At 43.1% G+C, this 22,766-nt stretch overlaps 1 long non-coding RNA gene across 2 annotated transcripts in view; it reads left to right on the top strand.

The window, feature by feature from the left end:
* LOC105379003 (uncharacterized) overlaps positions 1–21,523 on the top strand; it is a 92,996-nt gene extending 71,473 nt beyond the window's left edge. For both annotated transcript variants that reach the window (XR_948380.3, XR_001742683.2), the window contains 2 exons: positions 17,726–19,558; positions 21,073–21,523. This is a non-coding gene — a long non-coding RNA (uncharacterized LOC105379003). The remainder of the gene's footprint in view (positions 1–17,725; positions 19,559–21,072) is intronic.
* The last annotated feature ends 1,243 nt before the right edge of the window (positions 21,524–22,766 follow it).

Raw genomic sequence — 22,766 nt, 5'->3', positions numbered from 1 at the left:
TTGCTGGAATGCCCTGGGTCCCCTTCTGGGCAAAGCAGACATGGGGTGGCTCCTGGCACATACATTGTCATATTTGTATCAAGAAAAGCTGCTGCTCTGTGTCTTTAATATAGACGTTGGTAAAATAGTGTAACAAAAGAAGAAAAGAAAAGCTGCTACCCAAGCAATGCCAACTAGACCCAGAATTTGGGGAAGCAATTCCTTGAGGATGCTCACATGCAAGAGACAGGGGGAAGGAGGAGCAGGGGAAAACAGCAGCAGCAGAGGCAGTGACAGCTCCAAGACTGACAGGCTAACCATCAAGCACAAGAGAGTCACTGGAGCCAGGAGCCAGAGCCTCTATTATAAGGAAATGCCAAGCTGATCACTCCAGAACCATGTCCCAGATCTCCAGGAGTCTTGAGTGCACAGCTGCTGAGACATCTGCTGTCCCCTTAATTCCAGGGACCTTCACATAGCCTTCCGATCCTGGAGCATGGCTTTGGTCCTCAAGTCTGGGAGAGCCTAATTAATACACAAGGGGCCTAAATGGAACAAGGCCCTTGGGTCATACCAGGTACCCATGGTCAGTTGTCACACAGGCATCACGAGGGCCAGCTGAGACAATGAAGGGTGAGGAAGTGGGTACAGAGGAGCCAGGACACTGCTGATACTGATGATATTAATAGCCCCAAACAGATTCATAAGGCAGGTGGTCAAAAGTCAAGAGCTAGGAGTGACATAAAGAGAAGGGCAGATTCAAAGCATTAGCTCCAAGGAAAAATTTAACAGCCACCACCAAGTAATAAATCACAGTAACTCCTCCTGTAGCTCATCTCAGACACCTTCCTCCGGGCTTGGTTAAGTCCCCTTAGGGGTAAGAATAGCATCCTATTCTATCTATCTATACACTTGTCACGCTGTATTGTTATCGTCCTCTTCCCCCGTTAGGATAGAGACTATTTTTAATACCAGTATATACTGGAGGAGAGAGAGAGATTAGGTGAACTTGGACTGAACCAGCAAAGTTCCACACAGCCAAGTCACTTGGAGATCCCAAAGGGTGTGTTATCACAGAGTTGCAACTATATTTCAAAAATTAGCTCATGTTTACTGATTCTTAAAGGTAGCTGATGATGCAAGAGGGTGCTTTTGTCAAATCCAGTTTCACCCCTTCACTGTGTTAGCATGGCACTTCTTTTTCTCTCCATGAAGCTCCATCCTTCCTCATCTTTGAAGTCACTGTCTGCTTGACATGAAAAATGTCCTCTAGAAAATGTAATCACTAATTACATCAATGAAAAACCACCAGCTCTCAAATGTGGAATGATTAACCACAAGAAAACAAATTTTCAATAATAATTTTCTAGTCCTTGGTTTTCCACGAAAGTTGGTTGTCTGCCTGTGCAGTGGGTTTTCCTTGAGTCCTTTAATGTTTTACCCACCACCAATTCCCAGGAGAAATCCTCTAACAAAGTTGGCATTCTGTTTCAAGAAAAGTCTTGACTCCATGTCACCTGAATTGCTCTCCTTGGTTCTCTTCCAAGCACACAATTTCTTTCAAAGCCCTTCACGTTAAGCTCCTGCATTTTCTTTATTATTATTATTATTATTATTATTATTATTATTATTATACTTTAAGCTTTAGGGTACAAGCACACCAACATGGCACATGTATACATATGTAGCTCCTGCATTTTCTTGACTTCTGAACTTTCAGCCCTAGATTTTCCTCACACTCCACCCCACTGTCTCTGCTTTCTGAGTTTCTTCCACCCAGAGCTTTGCATGCTATCCTCCTGTGAGATCAGTCATGAGGCAGAGCCCTGTGCTTCTTGCTGTGCACCATTCATGTGGCCCTCAGGCCATCAGAGGTGGTAGGTTATGTGTGACAGAAGGGTGGCCCTCCCATGTTTCCCAGGGCTCCTCCATCGCTCTCAGAGAATGTTCTCCAGGGGTTGTCATCTCTCTATTCCACAGACAGCTATGAAGCCCCTGCTGGGTCCCCTGCTCTGCGCTAAGGCTGAGGTGGGGACAAAAAACAATCAGATAGGCTGTAAAGCTCCTGGGTCACATCTGGCTAATGCCTTCCATTCAAGTCCCAGCTCAATTGTCACCTTTTCTGTGAAGGCTTTCTTGACTAGTACTCCCTCCTCTTTGACCCCATAGCCCTCTGTTCATATTTCTGTATGGTGCTCATCCCGTGATAGGATTTAAGGGAAACTACAAATGTCACCCCTCCACTGTGCTTTTGGAATCAATTGAGAAATGCACATGAGTCTGAGAGATGGAGCTCACAATATCAGCTTCATTACTTAACAGATAAAGCTGGACATGGAAAAGCGATGCACCTGCAGCCAAACGAGCTTCCTAATATGCCACACACCCCCAGTACGCTCACCCTGTCTTTGTCCTGACTTATTCACCTGGTCACCCGGAGCTGCTGGAGCACTTCAGGCCTCCCATGACAGAGTAAATCTCTTGTCACACAGAGGAGAATGCATGCGTGCATACCTGCTAAGAGGAAGCTGTTTTCAAAGAGAAGGAAAAGGGCCATTTGAGAATGGAGACCTTTAATTTAATACATCCTTCTTTCCCACGTGGAGCAGTGGGTGTTAATTTCTCCCCTTCCCAGCAAACAGGTAAGTCACTCCTCCTGCTCCAGGAAAGAGGAGGTGAGAGGTGGCAGGCAGGGCAGAATATCTCCAATATCCTCGAGAAGGCTGGGGCAGAGACAGAAATGTAAGAAAATAGTCAACACACACACGTACACACGCACACAGCCCTAGGGACTATAATTTTCTGCATAAAATTCTGCTTCTTATGCTGGACTTTGAGCTTCTCAAGGGCAAGAACTAACTCATTCATTTTTGCATAAAAGGAAAATGAAAAAAAAGTCTTGGCTGTCACAGAGGCTTATTTGATAGAACTTGCTGGATAAATAAATGTGGAACACCCTGTCTCCTGTCCTTTAGGCTATTTGCCCACCTATGGGAGGGAGGTAAGTCAGTGACCTCAGTGCTAATGAGGTCTGAAGGGATGAGAAATCCTCTTGGCCATAGCTGGTCTGTAGATTCCCTCCACATCTGCTGGCATCCCAAGATAACCAGGGTCCTTCTAACTGTCTTGGCTGAACCTCATGAAGTGACTGGGACTCTGTCACCTTCTTCCCCTCCCACAATGGTAATCCGCAAGGAGCGATCTTTGATGTTACTATTATTTTTATTTTGGGGCATCACAAACTGTACTCATATAAGATGGTAAACTTACTCAGTAAATGTTGTCTGTGTTCTGACTGTTCCACTGACCGGCAATTCCCCTATCTCTCCCCTCTCCTCTGGTCTCCCTATTCCCTGAGACACAACAATACTGAAATTAAGCCAGTTAATAATCCTATAATGGCTTCTAATTGTTCAAGTAAAAGGAAGAGTTGCACATATCTCTATTTATTCTTCTTTTTATTTATTTTTTGAAACAGAGTCTCACTCTCTTGCCCAGGCTGGAGTGCAGTGGTGTGATCTCAGCTCACTGCAACTCTTACCTCCTGGGTTCAAGTGATTCTCGTACCTCAGCCTCACAAGTAGCTGGGACCATAGGCATGCACCACCACACCTGACTAATTTTTGTAGTTTGGTAGAGACGGAGTTTCCCCATGTTGGACAGGCTGGTCTTGAACTCCTGACCTCAAGCGATCCATTCTCCTTGGCCTCCCAAAGTGCTGGGATTACAGGCATGAGCCACTGCACCAGGCCTGGACATATCTCACTTTAAATCAAAAATTAGAAATGATTAAGCTTCTTGAGGGAGGCATGTTGAAAGCCAAGATGAGCAAAAAGCTAGGCACCTTGGGCCAAACAACCAAGTTTTTAATGCAAAGGAAAAGTTCTTGAAGGAAATTAAAAGTGTGACTCCACTGAAAACATAAATGATAACAAGGCAAAACAGCCTTACTGCTGAGATGGGAAGGTTTAAGTGGTCTAGATAGAAGATCAAACCAGCCACAACACTGCCTTAAACCAAAGCCTAGCCCAGAGCAAGGCTCTAACACTCTTCAATTCTATGAAGGCTGAGAGAAGTGAGGAAGCTACAAAAGAAAAGTGTGAAGCTAGCAGAGATTGATTCACGAGGTTTAAGAAAAGAAGCTATCTCCGTAACATAAAAGTGCAAGGTGAGGCAGCAAGTGCCGATGAGAAACTGCAGAGAGTTGTCCAGAAGGTCTAGCTAAGATTATTGATGATGGTAGTTACCCTAAACAACAGATCTTTGATGTAGATGAAGCAGCCTTACATTGGAAGAAGATGCCATCTAGGACTTGCCTAGTTAGAGAGGTGAAGTCAATGCTTGGCTTCAAAGCTTCAAAGAACAAGCTGACTCTCTTGTTAGGGGCTATGCAACTGGTGACTTTAAGTTGAAGCCAAGACTCATTTACCATTCTGAAAATCCTAAGGCCCTTAAGAATTATGCTGAATCTACTTTGCCTGTGCCCTATAAATGGAAAAACAAGGCCTGGATGACAGCACTTCTGTTTACAGCATGGTTTACTATTTTAAGCCCCTGGTTGAGACCTATTTCTCAGAATAGAAAGATTCCTTTCGAAATATTGCTTCTCATTGACAATGCGCCTGGTCATGCAAGGGCTCTGATGGAGATGTACAAGGAGACTAATGTAGTTTTCTTGCCTGCCAACATAACATCCATTCTATAGCCCATGGATCAAGAAGTAATTTTGACTTGCAAGTTTTATTATTTAAGAAATAAATTTTGTAAGGCCATAGCTGCCATAGTGATTCCTCTTGTGGATCTGAGTAAAGTATATTGAAAACCTTCGGAAAAGGATTCACCATCCTACATGCCATAAAGGACATTTGTGATTCACAAAAACGGGTCAAAATATCAACATTAACAGGAATTTGGAAGAAGTTGATTCTAACCCTCATGGATTACTTGGAGGGGTTCAGAACCTCAGTGGAGGAAGTAACTGAAGATGTGGTAGAAATAGCAAAAGAACTACAATTAGACCCATAAGATGAATTGCAATCTTATGATCAAACTTTAAAGGATGAGGAGTTGCTTTTTGTGGAAGAACAAAGAAAGTGGCTTCTTGAGATGAAATCTATTCCTGAAGATGCTGTGAACACTGCTGAAATGACAATAAAAAATTTCAAATATTACTTAAACATAATTGATAAAGCAGTGGCAGGATTTGAGAGGACTGACTGCAATTTTGAAAGAAGTTCTACTATATGGGTAAAATGCTGTTAAACGCATCACAAGCTACAGAGAAATCTTTTGTGAAAGAGAGTCAATCAACATGACAGACCTCATTACTGTCTTATTTTAAGGACTTTCCACAGCCACCCAACCTTCAGCAACCACCACCCCAATCAGTTAGCAGCCATCGATAACCAGGCAAAACCCTCCACCAGCAAAACGACTGTGATTCGCTCAATGTTCAGATGATTGTTAGTATTTTTTAGCAACAAATTATGTTTTAATCCAGGTATGTACATTGTTTTTTAAACATAATGCTCTTGCACATTTAATAGACTACAGTATAGTGTAAACATAACTTACATGCACTGGAAAAGCAAAAAAAATCGTGTGACTCCCTGTACTGAGATATTTGCTTTATTGCAGTGGTCTGGAACCAAATCTGCAATATCTCCGAAGTACATCTACAGTCAGTAGGAAACATGTGGCAGAGTGGAAAACAGAAGTGGCCTGCAAATATGTCTGCCTTTTGTCTTAAAAGCCTAAGCCCACAGAGAAGTGATATTTGGTAAACATAAATAGGGTTTCTACAAAAAAATTAAAGGGATTAGAATCTCCTTATTTTTAGATATTTTCCTTCAGATTTGTGTTGAAGAGTGGAAGGGAAAGAAAGAGAGAAGGAGGAAAAGGGTGAAAAGGAGGGAGACAAGGAGGGACAAAGAAAGAAAGAAAGAAATGAAGGAATAGAGATCAGTTGTTCAGTGGTATAATTATAAAAGCAAAAATGAGCCAAGTCCTGGCAGCCCCAGTGGAAAAGAAAAAAGACTCCAGAGAAAAATGACTGCATAGTACATCATGGCAAGTTGGACTAGAATCAAAGCCAAAGTTGTCTATGTGTCAAGCACAGCCCAGAGGCAGCAGAGAATCACCACATCTAAGGACCATGGGAAAAAGGATGACCGTGTTCACAACAAACCCGACCTGGGTGGGCTCCCAGGACCAAATAAGCCTGCATTCTTGAACACCCTAATTCAAACTTAAAGGTTTACGCCTGCCGCATGAGGACTAATTTTTCTCTGAAGACAACATTGTCTGATTCCATATGAAGAAGGCATATCCCTCTGTTAGCATGACTTTGACCCCGTTCCTCGTAGAAACAATAACCCTAGTGCTACTGCACGAAGGAGCACGTGACTACCCCCAGGTATCTGTGAATTGCACTATCTAATAATGGCTCCTAACAGATTTTTTTTAAATACTAAATTGCTGCCCCAATGAAAGAACAGAGATGGGGATGGGGACCAGTTCTGAGGTCATCTTGCAAAATCACTGAATGACAGACTCAGCCTGAGGGTGAACTGGATATAACCAGCACTGACTGGCACGGCTCAGTCTCTATGCATCCCATCAGGCCAGGGAACTGCTGAGCGAGAGAGACCAAGACTTGGAACTCTGGGGAAGGTAGAAGCAGCTGAGCAGAAAGAAGGCAGCAAAGGAGCTTGTGCCCAGCCCCCTGGGAGGGCAAACCTCGTGTGAATCACCAGCAACCGTGAACATCTGTTTTATTGAGGCCCGTATGGAAAAGCAGAGTTGCATAGTTGAAAGAGCCCAAGTTTTGGTGCTTACCTATTAACTTGAACCTTAACTCTGCCACTTATTAGCCATGTTTTGTTGGGCAAGTTAGTTAATTTCTCTAAGTCTTCGTTCCCTGAGCTCTAAAACAGGATTACAGCAGTACCTAATTCAGAGGAATTGTGGAGTGGGTTGAGTGAAATGCAGCACATCAAGCTTCTAGCACAGGGATGTCCAGTCTTTTGGCTTCTCTGGGCCACATTGGAAGAAGAATTATCTTGGGCCACACATAAAATAAACTAACACTAATTATAGCTGATGACCTAAAAAGAAAAAAAATCTCATAATGTTTTAAGAAAGTTTACGAATTTGTGTTGGTCCACATTCAAAGCCATCGTGGGCTGCATGCAGCCCACAGGCTGCGGGATGGACAAGCTCATTCTAGCATTTCTAGCACAGTATTTGACACAGAGCCAAGGATCAATAAACAGCAAAGGTGGTCATTGCCACTAGAAGGCCATGGAGACTCCACCGTGTCATAATTCAGAATGTCGGTCAGGAGGAGCACAGGGCCCTGGAGCCAAAATGCTTAAGTTAAAGTCCAGGCTCGATCCAGGCTCTGTGACCCAGAGCCAGTTGTTTAACCTCTCTGTGCCTCAGTTATATAAACAGGAAAATGGGTCAATATCAATGCTTTTCCCCTTGGTGTTAAATTGATCTAAATTTAGCCTGAGCTTGCATCTGCAATTGGGTCCTTCATAAAGAGCAAGGAACTGCAGCCTGGCTTAGTGTGGAAACTAACTGAAAGCCTAATTTAGGAATATACTTTTGTAACAAACAGCTGAGTCTCAGCCCATTACAGCAGCTGAGCTTCAGTCATTCACAGGCAACCAACGGATTCAAATAAGGCAAGCACAAGCTGTAACCAATTAAGCTGTACACCTCACTTCCGTTTTCTATCCATAAATACTGTCTGACCGTGTTGCTGGCCAGAGTTCCTAGAACCTGTTCTGGTTTTGAAAGCTGCCCAATTTGCAAATTGGTTTTTTCTCAATTAAACTCTGCTAAACTTAACTTGCTGAGGTTTTTTTTTTTCCCTTTAACATTGGTTAGTAGGAGATGGAGGTGCCTGGGGATGCCAGCAAGGCATCAGAACAGGTTTGGCACATGGTTCACGGGATAGGTTACATACAAATGGCTATGTCACTTTTTGCACACTCTGTTTAAGAATAGAGGAAAAGAGAAATGTTCATGAAAAGATGTTGTCAAATGGCTAATATTAAACTTAGATTCCTACAGAATAAATCTTCCCTTATCAGGAAAATTCACTTTTCCTGTATCACTTCACTTCACTTCACTTCTACAGAAGATAACCTCATACTACTCGCCAGCAAGCAGCATTTGCAAGTCTTTATTATTGAGCCCAGATGAAAGTATGATTAGGGACTGGCTGACCCGGGTCAGACTGCCTGAGTCCATCCAAGTCCTGGTCCTGCACTTCTCGGCTATGCAACCTTAGGTTAGTTAACTTCCCTTTGTTTCAGTTTCTTCTACCTCTAAAATGGAAATAATAAAGCCTGCCTCTGAGGGTGGTTGTGAAGGACAGCACCTGGCACATCACACTCAAAAAAATGCTATCAGTTATTGCTATTAGGAGTTGAAATAACTAACAGTAATTTAATTGGGATTGTTATTCTCGTCCCCATTTTACAATCAAGAAAACCAAGGCAGCAAGTTGTTGCAGGAGTTGGCTGCAGAAGTCTGCTTATTCCATTGAACTCCACTCTGAACGTAAGATTGATTTTTGGTGTGTTGGTACCAGTTGTGAATGACTTTATTTTCCCCTTGTGCATTTTAGAAACAAGGAGGTCAGTATTCTATGACAACTCACCTACCCCTTCAGACTTGATAGACACCTTTCAGTTTCCTCCATAAAAATAGAAGTGTGGTGCTCAGAATAGAATGGCACATTGGAAAATTTCCCCAACAAAGTGAGATCTAATTGCGGAAAATAGGAGCCAGCCTTCAACTTGGCTTCTGCTCAACCTAGAGACAGAAAAGAGTGATGTCATCGCTCCCCCACCTCACCCAGGCCTTTCTGTACATAGTTGGCGAAGAAAAGAAAAATGGACAGAAGAGAAGGAGATTCCACTGTTTCATTACAGTGATAAGAGCATATGACGATAGAGTAGTTTATACCCTAAATCCTAGAAGGAACTCCTGCCAGGAAAATACATCTTTTTCCTCCCCAACAGCCTAGAATCTTCTAGTCTATCTCTGATGCTTCTGGAACTTGAAGTCCAGATCCACCTTCTGATACCTTATAGAAAAAAATGTGGTTTTGTTTTTCAACCATAGCAACTTTGTTCTCCCTCTCTCTGAACTCACGAGCAGCTGCCAGGATCATGCATCCTTTAGGCTGACGTGCAAGCGTCAAACCCAAGATGGCCATGGCTCTCAGGGGACCCAACATGGAGGTGTCAGCCATGGCTGCTCTCACCTCCTCCTTTCCAGAGTCTGCAAGAGCTCAGCTTGATCAACCCAACTCAACTACTAGCCAAGCGTGGATTTAAGGCAAAGCAACATTGGTCTCTCATTGGAGCTCACAGTAACCATTTTATCTGTAAGCTCTGAGGAGTTCCCAGAAGCTAAAGAAAACACCGTCATGTAATAATAAAAGCTTCCTTTTACAGTGTGCTTACTTAAGCACCAGAAGGCATGCTAAGTACTTTATATACATTATCTAATTTACACCCAATCCCAACCTATGAAGTCGTTTCCCACCTATGAGAAAGCTAAGGCTTAGAGAGCTCAAGTCACTTGCCCAAGGTGGTGCAGCTAGCAGACGGCAGGGCTGGCATCTGAATGAGGATCCACTCTGCTTCCAGGGCCCATGATTTATCCACTGCACTGTAATGTCTAAGACATAGCATACACCGCAGATGTCACATATTCTCTCCAGAAGGTAGCTTTCCAGCATCGTTCATTCAACATATTTTTACTAAACATTTTCAATGTGTCAGACACTGTGCTGGGTACAGGGGACACAGAGGTGAACAGGAGGCTTACAGCTCACTAAAGGCAGACTAAGAAATAATAGTCCATAAACAATGAATCCTGTGAAAACAGATGGCTGAACCCTCAAGTATGTTTCCGGAAATCCAGGAATAAAAGAGGCAGATGGTGACTTTCTACCTGGAGCTCTGGGACATTGGAAAGCCCTGCAGATAAACCCACAGAGGATCAATTGCCATTTGAAGGGTCCAGAACACTGGGCCAGAGAGCAGCTTTCCAGGATCCTGTATATCCGGGCAGTTGTGGGGACAGCAATCAAATCCTCCCATGCTCCAGGGAAAGAGCTTGGTGGAGTCTTACGGACATAAGAGTGAGATGCAGCTATGGATGGCAGTGTGGTCCCAAGATGTGGGCCCAACCTGCTTCAGCAAATGCTGGTGGGGGGTCTTCACGAGAAGCCGATGATCAAGACCAGACAGCACACAGAACATGAATGTCAGGTCAAATGACCATAAACCCAAGCACTTCCTCAGTGCCACTGCATTGCAACATCCCCACAAAGGGAAGAACAGTCTTGTCCCACCAAGGAGTCGGGGGGAGTGAGAAATACCTGAATGTGACTGAGCTTAACAAATAGACTGAGAAATTACTGAATTGGACTGAGTTGACCTGGGCATGACTAGATTGGGCTTCCTGTACCAGTTACCATAGTGACTAGCGGTAGAAATCTAGTAAAGCTAAAGGAAAACTTAAAAAGCTACATTTCTCCACATGAGAAGTGTGAAACTAACTCCATACATGATATCAGTAGTTCAAATGATGATGCTCAGACCATATAGCAGAAGAGGAGCTGGAGACAAGTGTCACAGGTTAAATTGTGTCCCCGCAAAAACTCAGGTGCTGAAGTCCTCACCCACACTTTCTCAGAATATGACCCATCAGACAGGGTCATGGCAGATGTAATTTGTTAAGACGAGGTCTCACAGGAGCAGGATGGGCTCCTAATCCAATATGGTGGGAGACCTTTTAAGGAGACCTTGTGAAGATGGAGACACAGAGAGAATGCACTGAACAGAAAGGCAGAGGGCGGAGTGATGTGCCTACAAGCCAACAAACACAAAGGGACAGCCACCTAGCAGAAGCTAAGCAGCGAGGCAGGGAACAGTGTCTCCCTTACAGCCCTCAGAAGGAACCAACCCTCCAACACCTTGACCCCAGATGTCCAGCCTCCAGAAATGTGAGACAATAACTTTCTATTGTTCAGGCCACCCAGTTTGGGGTACTTTGTTATGGCAGCCCTAGCAAACTAATTCAATGGGAAGCCACATTTTTGTTCACTCATTATCCATTTCCTGCGTACCTTGTAGGGACCAGGCAAAGCACAAGGCGCTCTGAAGGATGTGGAAGTACTCATTGCCCATGACTGCTATTCTCATCTTAGAGCCCATAAGCTCGTTCGTGCCCCCTCAGTCACAGGAGGCTGCTGGTAGGAGTCACCAGGCTCCTCTGGAGACCCAGGTCCTTCCCAGGTGACTGGAGGTGGAACCCTTGGGGTCACATAAGCCCAGGAAGCCTCCCAGTCCTGTTCCCTGGTTCCTGGCCAAGACCTAAGTCCTTCTGATTATCTGTATTCTCTACCAACCATGCACTTCGTTTCTCCTGACCCGATCTTCATACAACACTGACACCCAGGCTTTCCTGAAACTCACATTCCAGGAAAAGCAAAGTCCCCAGCCCTCACCCTTTTAACTAAATGCCTCCCTGTCTCCCAGCTGTAACTGAAACCTAACTCTGACCTGAGGACCTCCGTTCTTCATCTGGGTTCTGTCTTTCCCCACCCCCTAGTACTTCAAGGTGTGAGGGGTGCACACGGGGGAATACTATTTCCCCTGACAGAAAACCAGGCCTCACTCTTTGATCCTTCCCTCGCTCTTTTCTGGAAGCAACAACTCTCCACTTTCTGCGATGGGGGCCTGGGCACCACTCATCCCTTCGCCTCTGCCCTTGTAGCCTGGGAAATCCTTACCTGCTCTCTAGGGGTGGAGAAAGCTTATGCTGACCCATCTTCTTTGCCTACTGTTTAGTCCAGGGCCTTAGCTCGTAGAGGTTCAGAGCATCTTTTTCTCTCAAGACGTTGCTATTGTTTTGATATTTAAGATCTTATTTGAATACTTCAAAGCAGAACAAAGAAGCTCCTTTCTCTTTGCATTCCCTGCTATGATGTCCTAATCTTCCCTGATGCAATGGATGCCTCACGAACATGTCCGTGAAAAGAACGGATCCACAAAAAGAATAGATTTGCTATTTTTCTGCCCCAGCTCCCTGCTGCCAGACAATGAGGTGGGAAGTGAGCAGTTGACTGGGAGATAGCATAAGAAAATATTCAAAGCTTCACCAGGAAAAAAAAATGTAGAGATAACACTTGGAATCATTTGCAATGTTTTTTTCTTGTTGCGGTTTGTCCCATAGTGACCTCCATTTGTACCTACCTCAGTGCAGAGAAAAGACAAAATTCAATTGAGTTTCTTAGCAGACGGTTTTAAATTCATAACAGAGTTGGTAGTCTCAATAATCTAGGGTCTATTGATTTGCAAGAACCTGGCAAGAGGAAGAAAATATGATAAAAATCCAACAGACACCTCATCTCAGGGAAGCTGCTGGGCTTCCTGACGCTGTCCATGGAGCAGAATCCAGCTCCCCAGGGCCCTGAGGGTATGTAAATAAACCCCAAAACTAGCCCTCGGGAATAGAGGAGAAGGAGGAACAGTGAAGCCCTAAAATGATAAACACTGAAGTGACTGCATTTGTCTTCAATTGTCTAGAATCTATACAAGCTGAACTCTAGATAAAGTTTCTACTACCCAGAAGAATGGGGAAGCTAAATTTTTAGAGAAAAGATTCTGAGTTACATTTCTGCTGCATACTTGCAGTGTGATTCACATGCATTATACCAACTAAACCGCCCATCCCAATTCCAGGCTTGCAACCCATTATTCATAGCATTTTCCCTAAACAGTGTCCTTCCCTGCATTTTAATGATCTCTTATTGTACTTAAAAATCACAATTCCTTACCATGACTTAACAAGGTAAACCATGATAAGATCTCTACCTTCCTGCATGAATGGTCTCTACCTTCCTACATGGACAATCTCTGCCTTCCTGCCTGGATGGTCTCTGCTTTTGTGCCTCGATGGTCTCTGCCTTCCTGCATCATATAGTCTTTGGCTTCCTGCATGGATGGTCTCTGCCATCCTGCATGGATGATCTATGCTTTTGTGCCTGGATGGTCTCTGCCTTCCTGCATGAATGGTCTCTACCTCCTGCCTGGATGGTCTCTACCTTCCTGAATGGATGGTGTCTGCCTTCCTGCGTGGATTGTCTGCCTTCCTGCATCATATGGTCTCTGCCTTCTTGCCTGGATGGCCTCTACCTTCCTGCATAGATGATCTCTAACTTCCTGCACAGATAATCTCTACCTTCCTGCCTGGATGATCTCTACTTTCCTGCCTGGATGGTCTCTGCCTTCCTGCATGGATGGTCCCTGCCTTCCTGCATGGATGATCTCTGCCTTCCTGCAAGGATGGTCTCTATCTTCCTCTTCAACTGTGCATTGTGCCCCTCTCCCTTTAGCTTACCACTCTCCAATCTTTCCCTTTCCCACCTCATGCTTTCCAACACTCTGTCCCAGGGCCTGATTACATACTCCTCATAAGGCTTCCCATCCTTCAGATCGGGCTGAAATGTCACCTCTTCAGAGAAGCTTTCCTTGACCATCAGGCAATTCCATGCCTACCCCCACAGTTCACTATCTCAGCACTGAGAGTGTTTCCTTCATAGACTAACCCTATCTGTAATTGTCTCATTTGTATGTTGTTGTCTTTCACCTCAGTATGTAAAGTCCGTGAAGGTGTTAAATTAAGTTTAACCTAAAGCTTCCTCCTTATATATTTTAATTTCAGACTAAAGGTTTCTCCCTACATAGTGAAGTGCAACCCAGCTGGATGTGTAAACAGGCTGTAACCTACTCTTGTACCAATCACCTAGTTTTGGCTAATCAAAGATGGCCAACTGTTTAAATCATGTTCAAATACGCAAACACCAAGCTGTAACTAATTTAGTGTTACTGTACCTCATTTCTGTTTTCCAGATGTCACTTTCCTTTTTCTGTTTATAACTCTTCTTCAACCACGTGGCAATGCCAGAATGTCTCTGAACCTGTTCTGGTTCGGGGATGCCTGATTCACAATCACTCTTTGCTCAATTAAACTCTGTTAAATTTATCTGAAGATTTTTCTTTTAACAAGGGTAAAGACCATATCGCTCCTGTTTAATCTCTTATTTCCAGGGACTATCCCAGTGCCTTGCACTCATAAGTATTTTTTAAGTGAAGGAATAAATGAACCCCAGCTTATCGCCAATGTGACTTCTTTGATGGAGCAAGAAGAGGGAAGTTTTCTCTGCTGATGTGGGTAATGCCTCCACAACATCTGTTTATAGTACCCTAAGGAGAATTTTGCTTTAATAAGTGCAAGAATTTACATTTCCAGGAAACACATGTGGCTACTAGTGACATTAAACTGGTGGTGAGCCACCCTTTCTGGCTGAGAGCCAACTCAGGAAAAACATAAACGTTTATGATCAGCATTTTAAAATTGAATATGAAAGTAACTTTACTGAATCCTATGGGGTGGAGGGAGTGGTGTATATTTTTACCATTGATACAATGTACTTTATTGATCAGACAAATATCAGTGAGCAATACTTTAGTGGCATTACATTTTTGCCACTAAAATGCTAATATGAGCAGCAATCCATAGACATCTGTGATACAATAAGAAATGTATATTTGGTCTTTGTCCCAGGTTCCTGACACAGAGGTTCTGAAACCCTGAATTTCCTAGTGATGGGGTAATAGGAACATCTTTTGTTATTCATAACAAGCCCCTCTCAACCGTACCTGAGTTTATGCTAATGAGGTGACTCTTGGTGGGCTCCTAAATAGCTTCAGGATGAAGGCTGGTTGCCAGAGCAATCAACCATGGGATTAGACAGTTGAAACTATCAGTCCTACCTGGGGACCTTAGGAGAAGGGACAGGGCTGGAGATTGGTGATATGGTTTGGCTCTCTCCCCCACCCAATCTCATCTTGAATTGTAGTTCCCATAATCGCCATGTCTCGTGGCAGTGACCCGGTGGGAACTAATTGAATCATGAGGGCAGTTACCCCCATACTGCTCTTTTCATGATAATGAGTGAGTTCTCATGAGATCTGATGGTTTTATAAGGTGCTTCTCCCCGTTTTGGTCTGCACTTCTTCCTACCATCATATGAAGAAAGACATGTTTGCTTCCCCTTCCACCATGATTGTATGTTTCCTGAGGCCTACCAGCCATGCAGAACTGTGAGTCAATTAAAACTCTTTCCTTTATAAATTATCCAGTCTGGGACAGTCCTTTATGGCTGCATGAGAATGGACTAACAGAGTTGGATTCAATCATCAATGGCCAATGATTTAATCAATCATGCCTCCATTTAAAAAAAAAAACAAACCCTCTAAACAAATGGGTTTGGAGATCTTTGGATTTGGTGAACACAAGGAGGTGCTGGGAGGGTGGCACACCTGGAGAAGGCATGGAAGGCCCGCGCCCTCCCCCATACCTTGGCCTATGCCTCTCTTCCATTTGGCTGTTCATGCATCCTATCCTTTATAATAAGCCATTAATACTAAGTGAAGTGCTTTCCTGAGTTCTGTGAGTCATTCTAGCAAATTATTGAACCTGCAGAGTGTATTGTGGGAACCCTCTGAATTTACAGCCAATTGGTCAGAAGTGCCAGTGACAACCTGAGACTTGTGACTGGCATCTGAAAGTGGGGACAGTCTTGTGGGACTAAATCCTTAATTTGTGGGATCTGATGATGACTCTAGGTAGACAATGCCAAAACTGAATTGAGTTTTAGGACACCCAGCTTGTGTCTGAGAGTTGAAGTGGCATTGGAAAAGACCATGCATTCAGAGTCAGAAGTGCTGTGAGTAAAAACAGTTTCATATTTTGTCTTCCCACTTCTGTGTATATCAGACTTTAAAGTCATCATCTCCAGAGTAAGATAAATGCAACCCCGGGGTGCACAAGATTATTCACTGGGTTATAAGAAGAATACATTAGAACTTCTATTTATTTTTGCCTAATCCTTTAAAAATATGTGTTATGTAAATATATAATAGAATGAATAGGTAATTTTAAAATATATAAACATACTTACATTGGAGTACATATATTTAAAACCACCTACTGATAGGACAACATGCTGAAAAAATATTGGAGGCTATCGATATCACATTCCCAAGTGCATTAAATTATTTCACCCTTGAAATGACATGAGAGTCATGACGATCCATAGTTAACAGATGGGAGAATTGAGGCTCAGGGTGAATTGATTAGTCCAAAGTCACATAGGGTGTTAGGGATACAGCCTGCACTGAATATGTTCCTGCCATTCCACTAACATCTGCTGACTACCTGTTTATGTCAGGCTCTGTGGTAGGTATTAGAAATAGAACACAAATAACATATGCTTCCTCCTCAGCTTGGGCCACCCACTCCCACTGTGATAGAGTCTCTTCCTCAGACAGGGTGTGGGACCTACAGCAAGACTGTGACCACTACCAGTTTCCTGGGGCTCTCCTGCCTTCTCCTCTGCCTTCCTGTCCCATTCCTCCCACTCCCCATAAAACCTTCCCATCCTTCATGGACAGCAAGAATCTGGGGCTCAGTGGTTCTGCCTGAAATGATCCTAAGGACCTCCTGGATGGTGGCTGGATTCTTCTGGGGCTCAGCAATATGTTACAATGGGCACTTGCATGAAGAAAAGTGAGCAGATGGCTTGGGGAGGTGTATAAGATATGGCAGCTCTCTGGAAGTCCCCTGCAAGAGGCACAAAGCAGAATGAAGTTGGTCTGTTGGGGAGAAGTACATGGGTTGCAGGCTGGAGGAAAAACTGTGTTGGGGCATGTAGTGAGGGTGTCAGGGACTCAGTCAAGAAGACTAAGGCTCATTGCAGGACCATGTCTTTGGGCTGCCAGAGGTACTGAGCAGGGATCTATTTACTGGCACTGAACTAAGAGGTAGAAGTTTATTAACCAGGAATGAAGCAAGAACCTGGTTACTGGAACTGGAAGATGTGGTAGCAGTGTGCCAGACCACAATGCTGGCTTACTAAATCATCAGTTCCTCATCTAGAACAATTTCACATTCCCTCACCCCAGAACAGGACTCTTTCGAGAGTCTAGGATGAGGCAAAACTAGAAATAGGGGATTTGAAACATGTAAATATACCACCTGTATTCATTAATTAGACAAATATTTATTAAAAGCCTATTACAGGCCAGTCCTATGTTAGGTAGTACGTACAACAGTGAACAAGAAAGCTGACCCTGCACTGCAGGGCTTCTGTGTAACAGGGGGATAAGCAAGTGAAACTGTGACAAGATATACCAAGTGCTGAGAGGGGAGGGGGAAGCAGTCAAAGGAGGGTTTGTTCTTCTTTCTTCAAGACGCAACTATATGCAAAGATGCAAGTATATGCAAGCATAATCAAGAATTCAAGCATGTCCATTAGTGGAAAGGAGCCTAGAAGAGATGAGGGTGGGAGACACAGGGGAGAGAGGAGATAGCTAATGGATCGAGGACCTCAGGGATCCAAGAGGGAGGCACCTTCTAGAGCCTTCTAACTCTGCATGGTATTCTGTTTATCAGTAGGAAATATAGATGTTACCTCTTCAAGGAAGGTTATAAAATGGACTGTGCTGCACTGTCGGATGGAAAACCTTGGCGTTTGGACTCAGATGAACTGGTTTTACAGTTTTGAAGTTCTACCGCTTTCCCGGCCAAGTGAGCCTGGGCAAATCATTTAACTTGTTTTAACCTCGGGTTGTGTTTTCTCCCCTAGGACCTCAGATGGACAGAATTCAACTCATCACATTTCTTGGTTCTTGACACGCTCTCCTCGTTAGTCCATCACATATTGCACGGATTCATTCATATCGCTGCATGTAGGCTGCTTTGACCTGCTGTAGAATATCTCATTGTGTGGATGCACATGTGGATCACTGAGTATGTCAGAGCTGGCAAGATACGTCAGAAGAGAAAGGAGAAACTCTTAACTAAATAGAGTTGGAAATAAAATAATTGTCTGTATGGAATAAGATCAAAGGTCCCACATGTTAAAGTCAACCCCAGATGAATTAAAGTCTTACATGTCAAAAAAAATTGAAACTTTTAGAAGAAAATTAAGGTGGATATATTTTAGACCTTAAGGTAGAGAAAGATTTCTTAAAGAAGACACTTACAGGATTGATTACAAACAAAAAGACTGGTACATTTGAATGTATTATGTTAAGAACTTTTCCACCAAAAGAAAGCCTCGATTTCCTCATTTTTAAGATGAGGATAATAATCCCTACCTTATAGAATTCTAATAAGATGAAATGAAGCAACATATACAAAATACTTAGCACAGATCCTAACACCTACAAAATAATAAATGGTAACGATTATTATTCTTCTCAAACAACAATCCTATTATTTATCAAATAATACTGAGTAATATGACAAGACATATTTAAACCACACAAGCCATATGCAGACAAGTGTTTAATATCATAGTGATAGTTTCAAGAGAGAGATAATAATTTATTCTACATTTATCAGAGGTCTATAGCCCAGTAGTCAATAAATACTTATCTATAGTCAATAAGTACTATCAAGCATCCATGCCAGGAACCATGCTAGGGGCTGATTAATTTACATCAATCACCATGACTTTTTTCCCACAAACTAACACACACACAATCTTCATAGATTTTTCTGTGATCACAGCAAGGAAAAGACCTACGCATGTTTGGATCATCTGTGTACAGTCCTACAGAAGAACTTTGACACTATCAGAGACAGAAATCTCAGAATAGTCCAACTCTCACTTATTTGTGCTAATGAAAGAGTAAAGTAAAAGAGACAATTAAAATGGGAAATGTGTTTTGTTTTGTTTTGGTGTTTTGTTTTACAAGTATGCAAAAACCTCAAATCAACCTGACCCAACAATAAGGAAGCAAGTCAGAAAAAGGCAGTCTTCCAGAGCTGTTTGTTCAGCAGCTCAGTAATGCCATGAAGGTTTGCTTCCTTTCTCTGCTTTGTGTTTCTGGAGAGAGTCCGCATACATTTCAATATGGCTGACAGCAGTTCTGGAATGTATAAAGCCTTGCATAAAGAAAATGACAGTTCACTATGAAAATCTGATTCGGATGATGTTGAAAATAGATTTAGTGTCTGCTCTGCCTCTCTGTTTTCTAGGACTTCACCACCTCACAGACTTTGTACACTCATGGTTCACAACTTCCTCACTGTGTTTTCTTTAACGAGTAGAAGATAAATAAGCTTTAAGAAATAGTAAATTATATCAAAATAGACTTTATCATATAATTTGCCTAATTATGTACCTTCAGTAAGTGTTTATTGAACTCTGGGGTGTCAACAATTTTTTATTCAGCTCTCATAAGTAATATTTGCTTAGAAATCTACCCATAAATAGGATAACAACTTTCATAAAACAAGAATTTATACCTAGCTAACATGAAAAAGCTAAACATCCCTTGAAGTACAATTCTCCTGAAAATCATCCCAATATGGTTTATTGAGGCTGATGGATTTGGACACCAGCTCTTAAGAAAAAAGATAAAGAGGAAAGCTACTGCCTGCCACAACATATTCTTTTTCCCAAGAGCTGGTAAGTTTCTTCCATATGTGGAATCCAATAACGTTCGGAACATTCTTTTCTCTTTCTGGTAATGTGATATACCCAACGTGGGCCTATGATACAAGGAAGGAGAGTAGATCAGGAGTCAAAAACCACAGGTCCTAGTTCTGGTTCTATCATTTCTTTGCTGTGAAAGTCTGGACCAGTGACTTCATAGCTCTGAGTTTCTGTTGTGTCATTCTTCAAGTCAGGTCATCATTTGCCTTCCCTACTTCACAGGTAGTATACAGTAATCTTTTCAAAAGCCCTTTAGAGGACATAACACAACCTTATGTTTATTTTCTGCTAGAGCATGACTCCCTTGAGGGCTTGGAGCATGTCTTAATCAAATTTGTATATTCCACCATTCCTACCCCAGACCTATTATTAGGTGCTCAATAAATGTTGATTTTAAATGACAGCTGTCATGAAATAAATGAAAACAGAAGCCAACAGTGACGGTTTGAGCTGCCTGCTGGCTGGCATGTGACACTTAACATCTAAAGAGTGATAGTGGCAGCTAAAGTGCGGAAGGAATCCACTTTATGAAACTATCTGAGCAGTGAAGCACTGGAAATCACAGAGTCTCCTTTTGGCTATTTTACATTTAGATATGAAAGCTTGTCAGGCTGGGCTGAGAATAGACAATGAGAAACTAACACATTTCAACAGGTTTTGAATAGTTTCCCAGTGAAGAATTTTCCTGGCCTCTCTCCACCCTGGTTTTTATCCCTCTTCTTGGGAGTTATTTTTCGCAAATGTACCCCATGATTGGCAAATTTCAGAAGAATAACTGGGGTTGGCTCAGTTCAGCTCCTCCCCGTCCTTCTCCTGAGTCTGCTTCCAAAGGCAATCTGCAAGGGAGGAATAAAGCAACTCAGGGAAGGGAAAAAGAGATGTGAAGAAGGAAAGAAATTGGAAGACCCAAAACAACATGATGGTTAGTAGAGCTAATGAAAATGAGGAAGCTCCAATAATATCTGGTTTTTTTTCTCTGACTTTGTGAAAACCATTTGTTATTATGATACGACAATGTAATCAATGGTACTCAGTAAAGTCAGTACCCCAAAATTCGGCCAGGTGTCATGGCTTTTTGTGTATGGTTGTCCTGGGAATTAAAGGAGAAGGAAGGGGCTGTGCCCCTGTAGGGGAGATGATGTGCAGAAACGGACGGTATACACAGGAGGAAAGACAATGAGAAAAGATAAAGAAAGAATTCACTAAAAGCAGGGACTTGGAGCTAGAGAAGCAACAAAAGACATCCATAATTCTTGGAGATATTAGGGGAATACTAGGCTTCCCAAGAAAAAGATTCAAGCCATTCTATTGCACTGTCAGCTGGAAGGTGGTCCCAAAAGGCTGGGGAAATTGGAGGCACTCAGGAAGCTGCTGTCTTGGTTACAGGCATTCATGTATGGATGAGGCTGGAGAAGGTAAAAGACAGAGGAAGAGAGTAGGGAGGCAGGTACAGAAAAGAGACTCATTATTACCTTTCTCTATTGCAGGCTTCAGAAGGTGAACCCAGAGAGCAGGCTGTTTCTGTCCATGGGAAAGCAGGATGGTACAGCCCATATCTGATTCAGAAACCAACAGTCAAACCATTCTCCCCTGAGACTAAAGCAGAGAATGAAGCCATTTCCCAGAAATTTGGGTATTTAAAAAATCACCCTGGCCTGGGTTACAGGGTAATTGTCCCATATCTATGTTTCACCTGCAGATTCATGGGACAGAATTATTTCCCAAATCTAGCTCCATGCTCCTGCCCTGACTTAAGTCAGGGAATACTTGGTATGTAGTAGCATTTATTATTTCACGTTCAAAATATCTCAAAGCCTTGAAAACTGTAACGTATTAAACGGAAATTTGGTAGGCATTGCTTCGCACAATCCCATGATGCCAGCTTGCTAGCATGGATATGCCCAGGGCACCCTACCAGATGCTGGACACAAAAGCTCAACATGGTAGTTCTTCCCTGCAAGGGTTCACAGCCCAGTGGAGGAGATCGTCAGGTGAGTAAATCATCCTACTGTACAGCCACGATGTGCAGAGGACTCAGAGGAGGGAGTGAAACTGCCACTCCCAGGCCCATGTCTCAGACCAACCCTTCCCCTCCAGCCAGTTGTGTAGACTGCACCTCTTCTCTCCCTCCTCAGTGAATACAGGCTAAGGAACGCAGGCTTCTCTTACCCAGGTTCCCTGAACTGCTTTTTTTAGCCCATCTCATCTTCTTCTGGTTTTGTTCAATTTTCTGCCAGCTTTTTTATCCGGCTCACTTATCTCCCTTTATCCCTCAGAACCATCTCCAGTAATTCCATTGACTGGCAGGACATTTTTCCATCAGAGAGTAGAGCTGAGCTGCTGCAGTGCCACGGCCACCTCCCAGCAACAACCCCTCCGACCCCAGCAGACCCACTACCTGGCTCTTTCGGTCAGTGGGGACTTTTCAGATGGTATCTCTTTTATTTTAGCTTTTTAATTTCTGGCTGCCAGGCTTTCTTTTCTTAACTACGTTTGGAGCAGCATTTTGCACATCACAGAAGCCATGCCAGTTTTAAGGTGAGTTAGGATTCTGCAGGGGAATCCCATTATTTTGATTCCCTCATCAAAGCAGGGCTAAGTTTAACCCCTTGCAAATATGAAAATGAAAAGGACAGAGGAGTGTATTGTCATGGAAAAGGCACCAAATTAGTCACCAGGGAACTGGACACAGGTCCCGGCCCCACAACTGACTCTGCCATGGGATTTTAGGCAAGACACCTCACCTTTCTGACTCCAAAATAGTATGCCTGTTAGTCTTCCTCATGATGAAGTTGGAAGAATCAAATATATTGACTGCTATAAACATACCTCATAAACTGTAAAGCACTGTTCAGTCAACTTAAAGACCCATGCCAAACCTAGGGACACTGGGCAGCATGTCCTTCTGAATAAGCACATAAGCTCCATGAGAGCAAGGATTGGGTCACCTCTTGCTCGCTATTTACTCCCAGTGCTTAGCACCTGGAAGGAAGGAAGGGAGGGAGGGACAGGGGGAGAAAATTATGCACCCAAGGGGTCTGAAATGTTAGGTCCTTCCACATGTTTGTGAAGCCCATCACCTGCTGGTAGGAGTAAAAATATCTCAAACACAATAAATATCTTTCCCGAATTAGCATCTATGAATTGAATCCCATTTGTGTGAGAAGTGAAAAGGCTGAAG

Source organism: Homo sapiens, chromosome 5, assembly GCF_000001405.40.
Source record: "Homo sapiens chromosome 5, GRCh38.p14 Primary Assembly".
NCBI lineage: Eukaryota > Metazoa > Chordata > Mammalia > Primates > Hominidae > Homo > Homo sapiens.
Note: the sequence above shows the minus strand (reverse complement) of the source record. Positions and strands in the feature narration are given on the sequence as shown.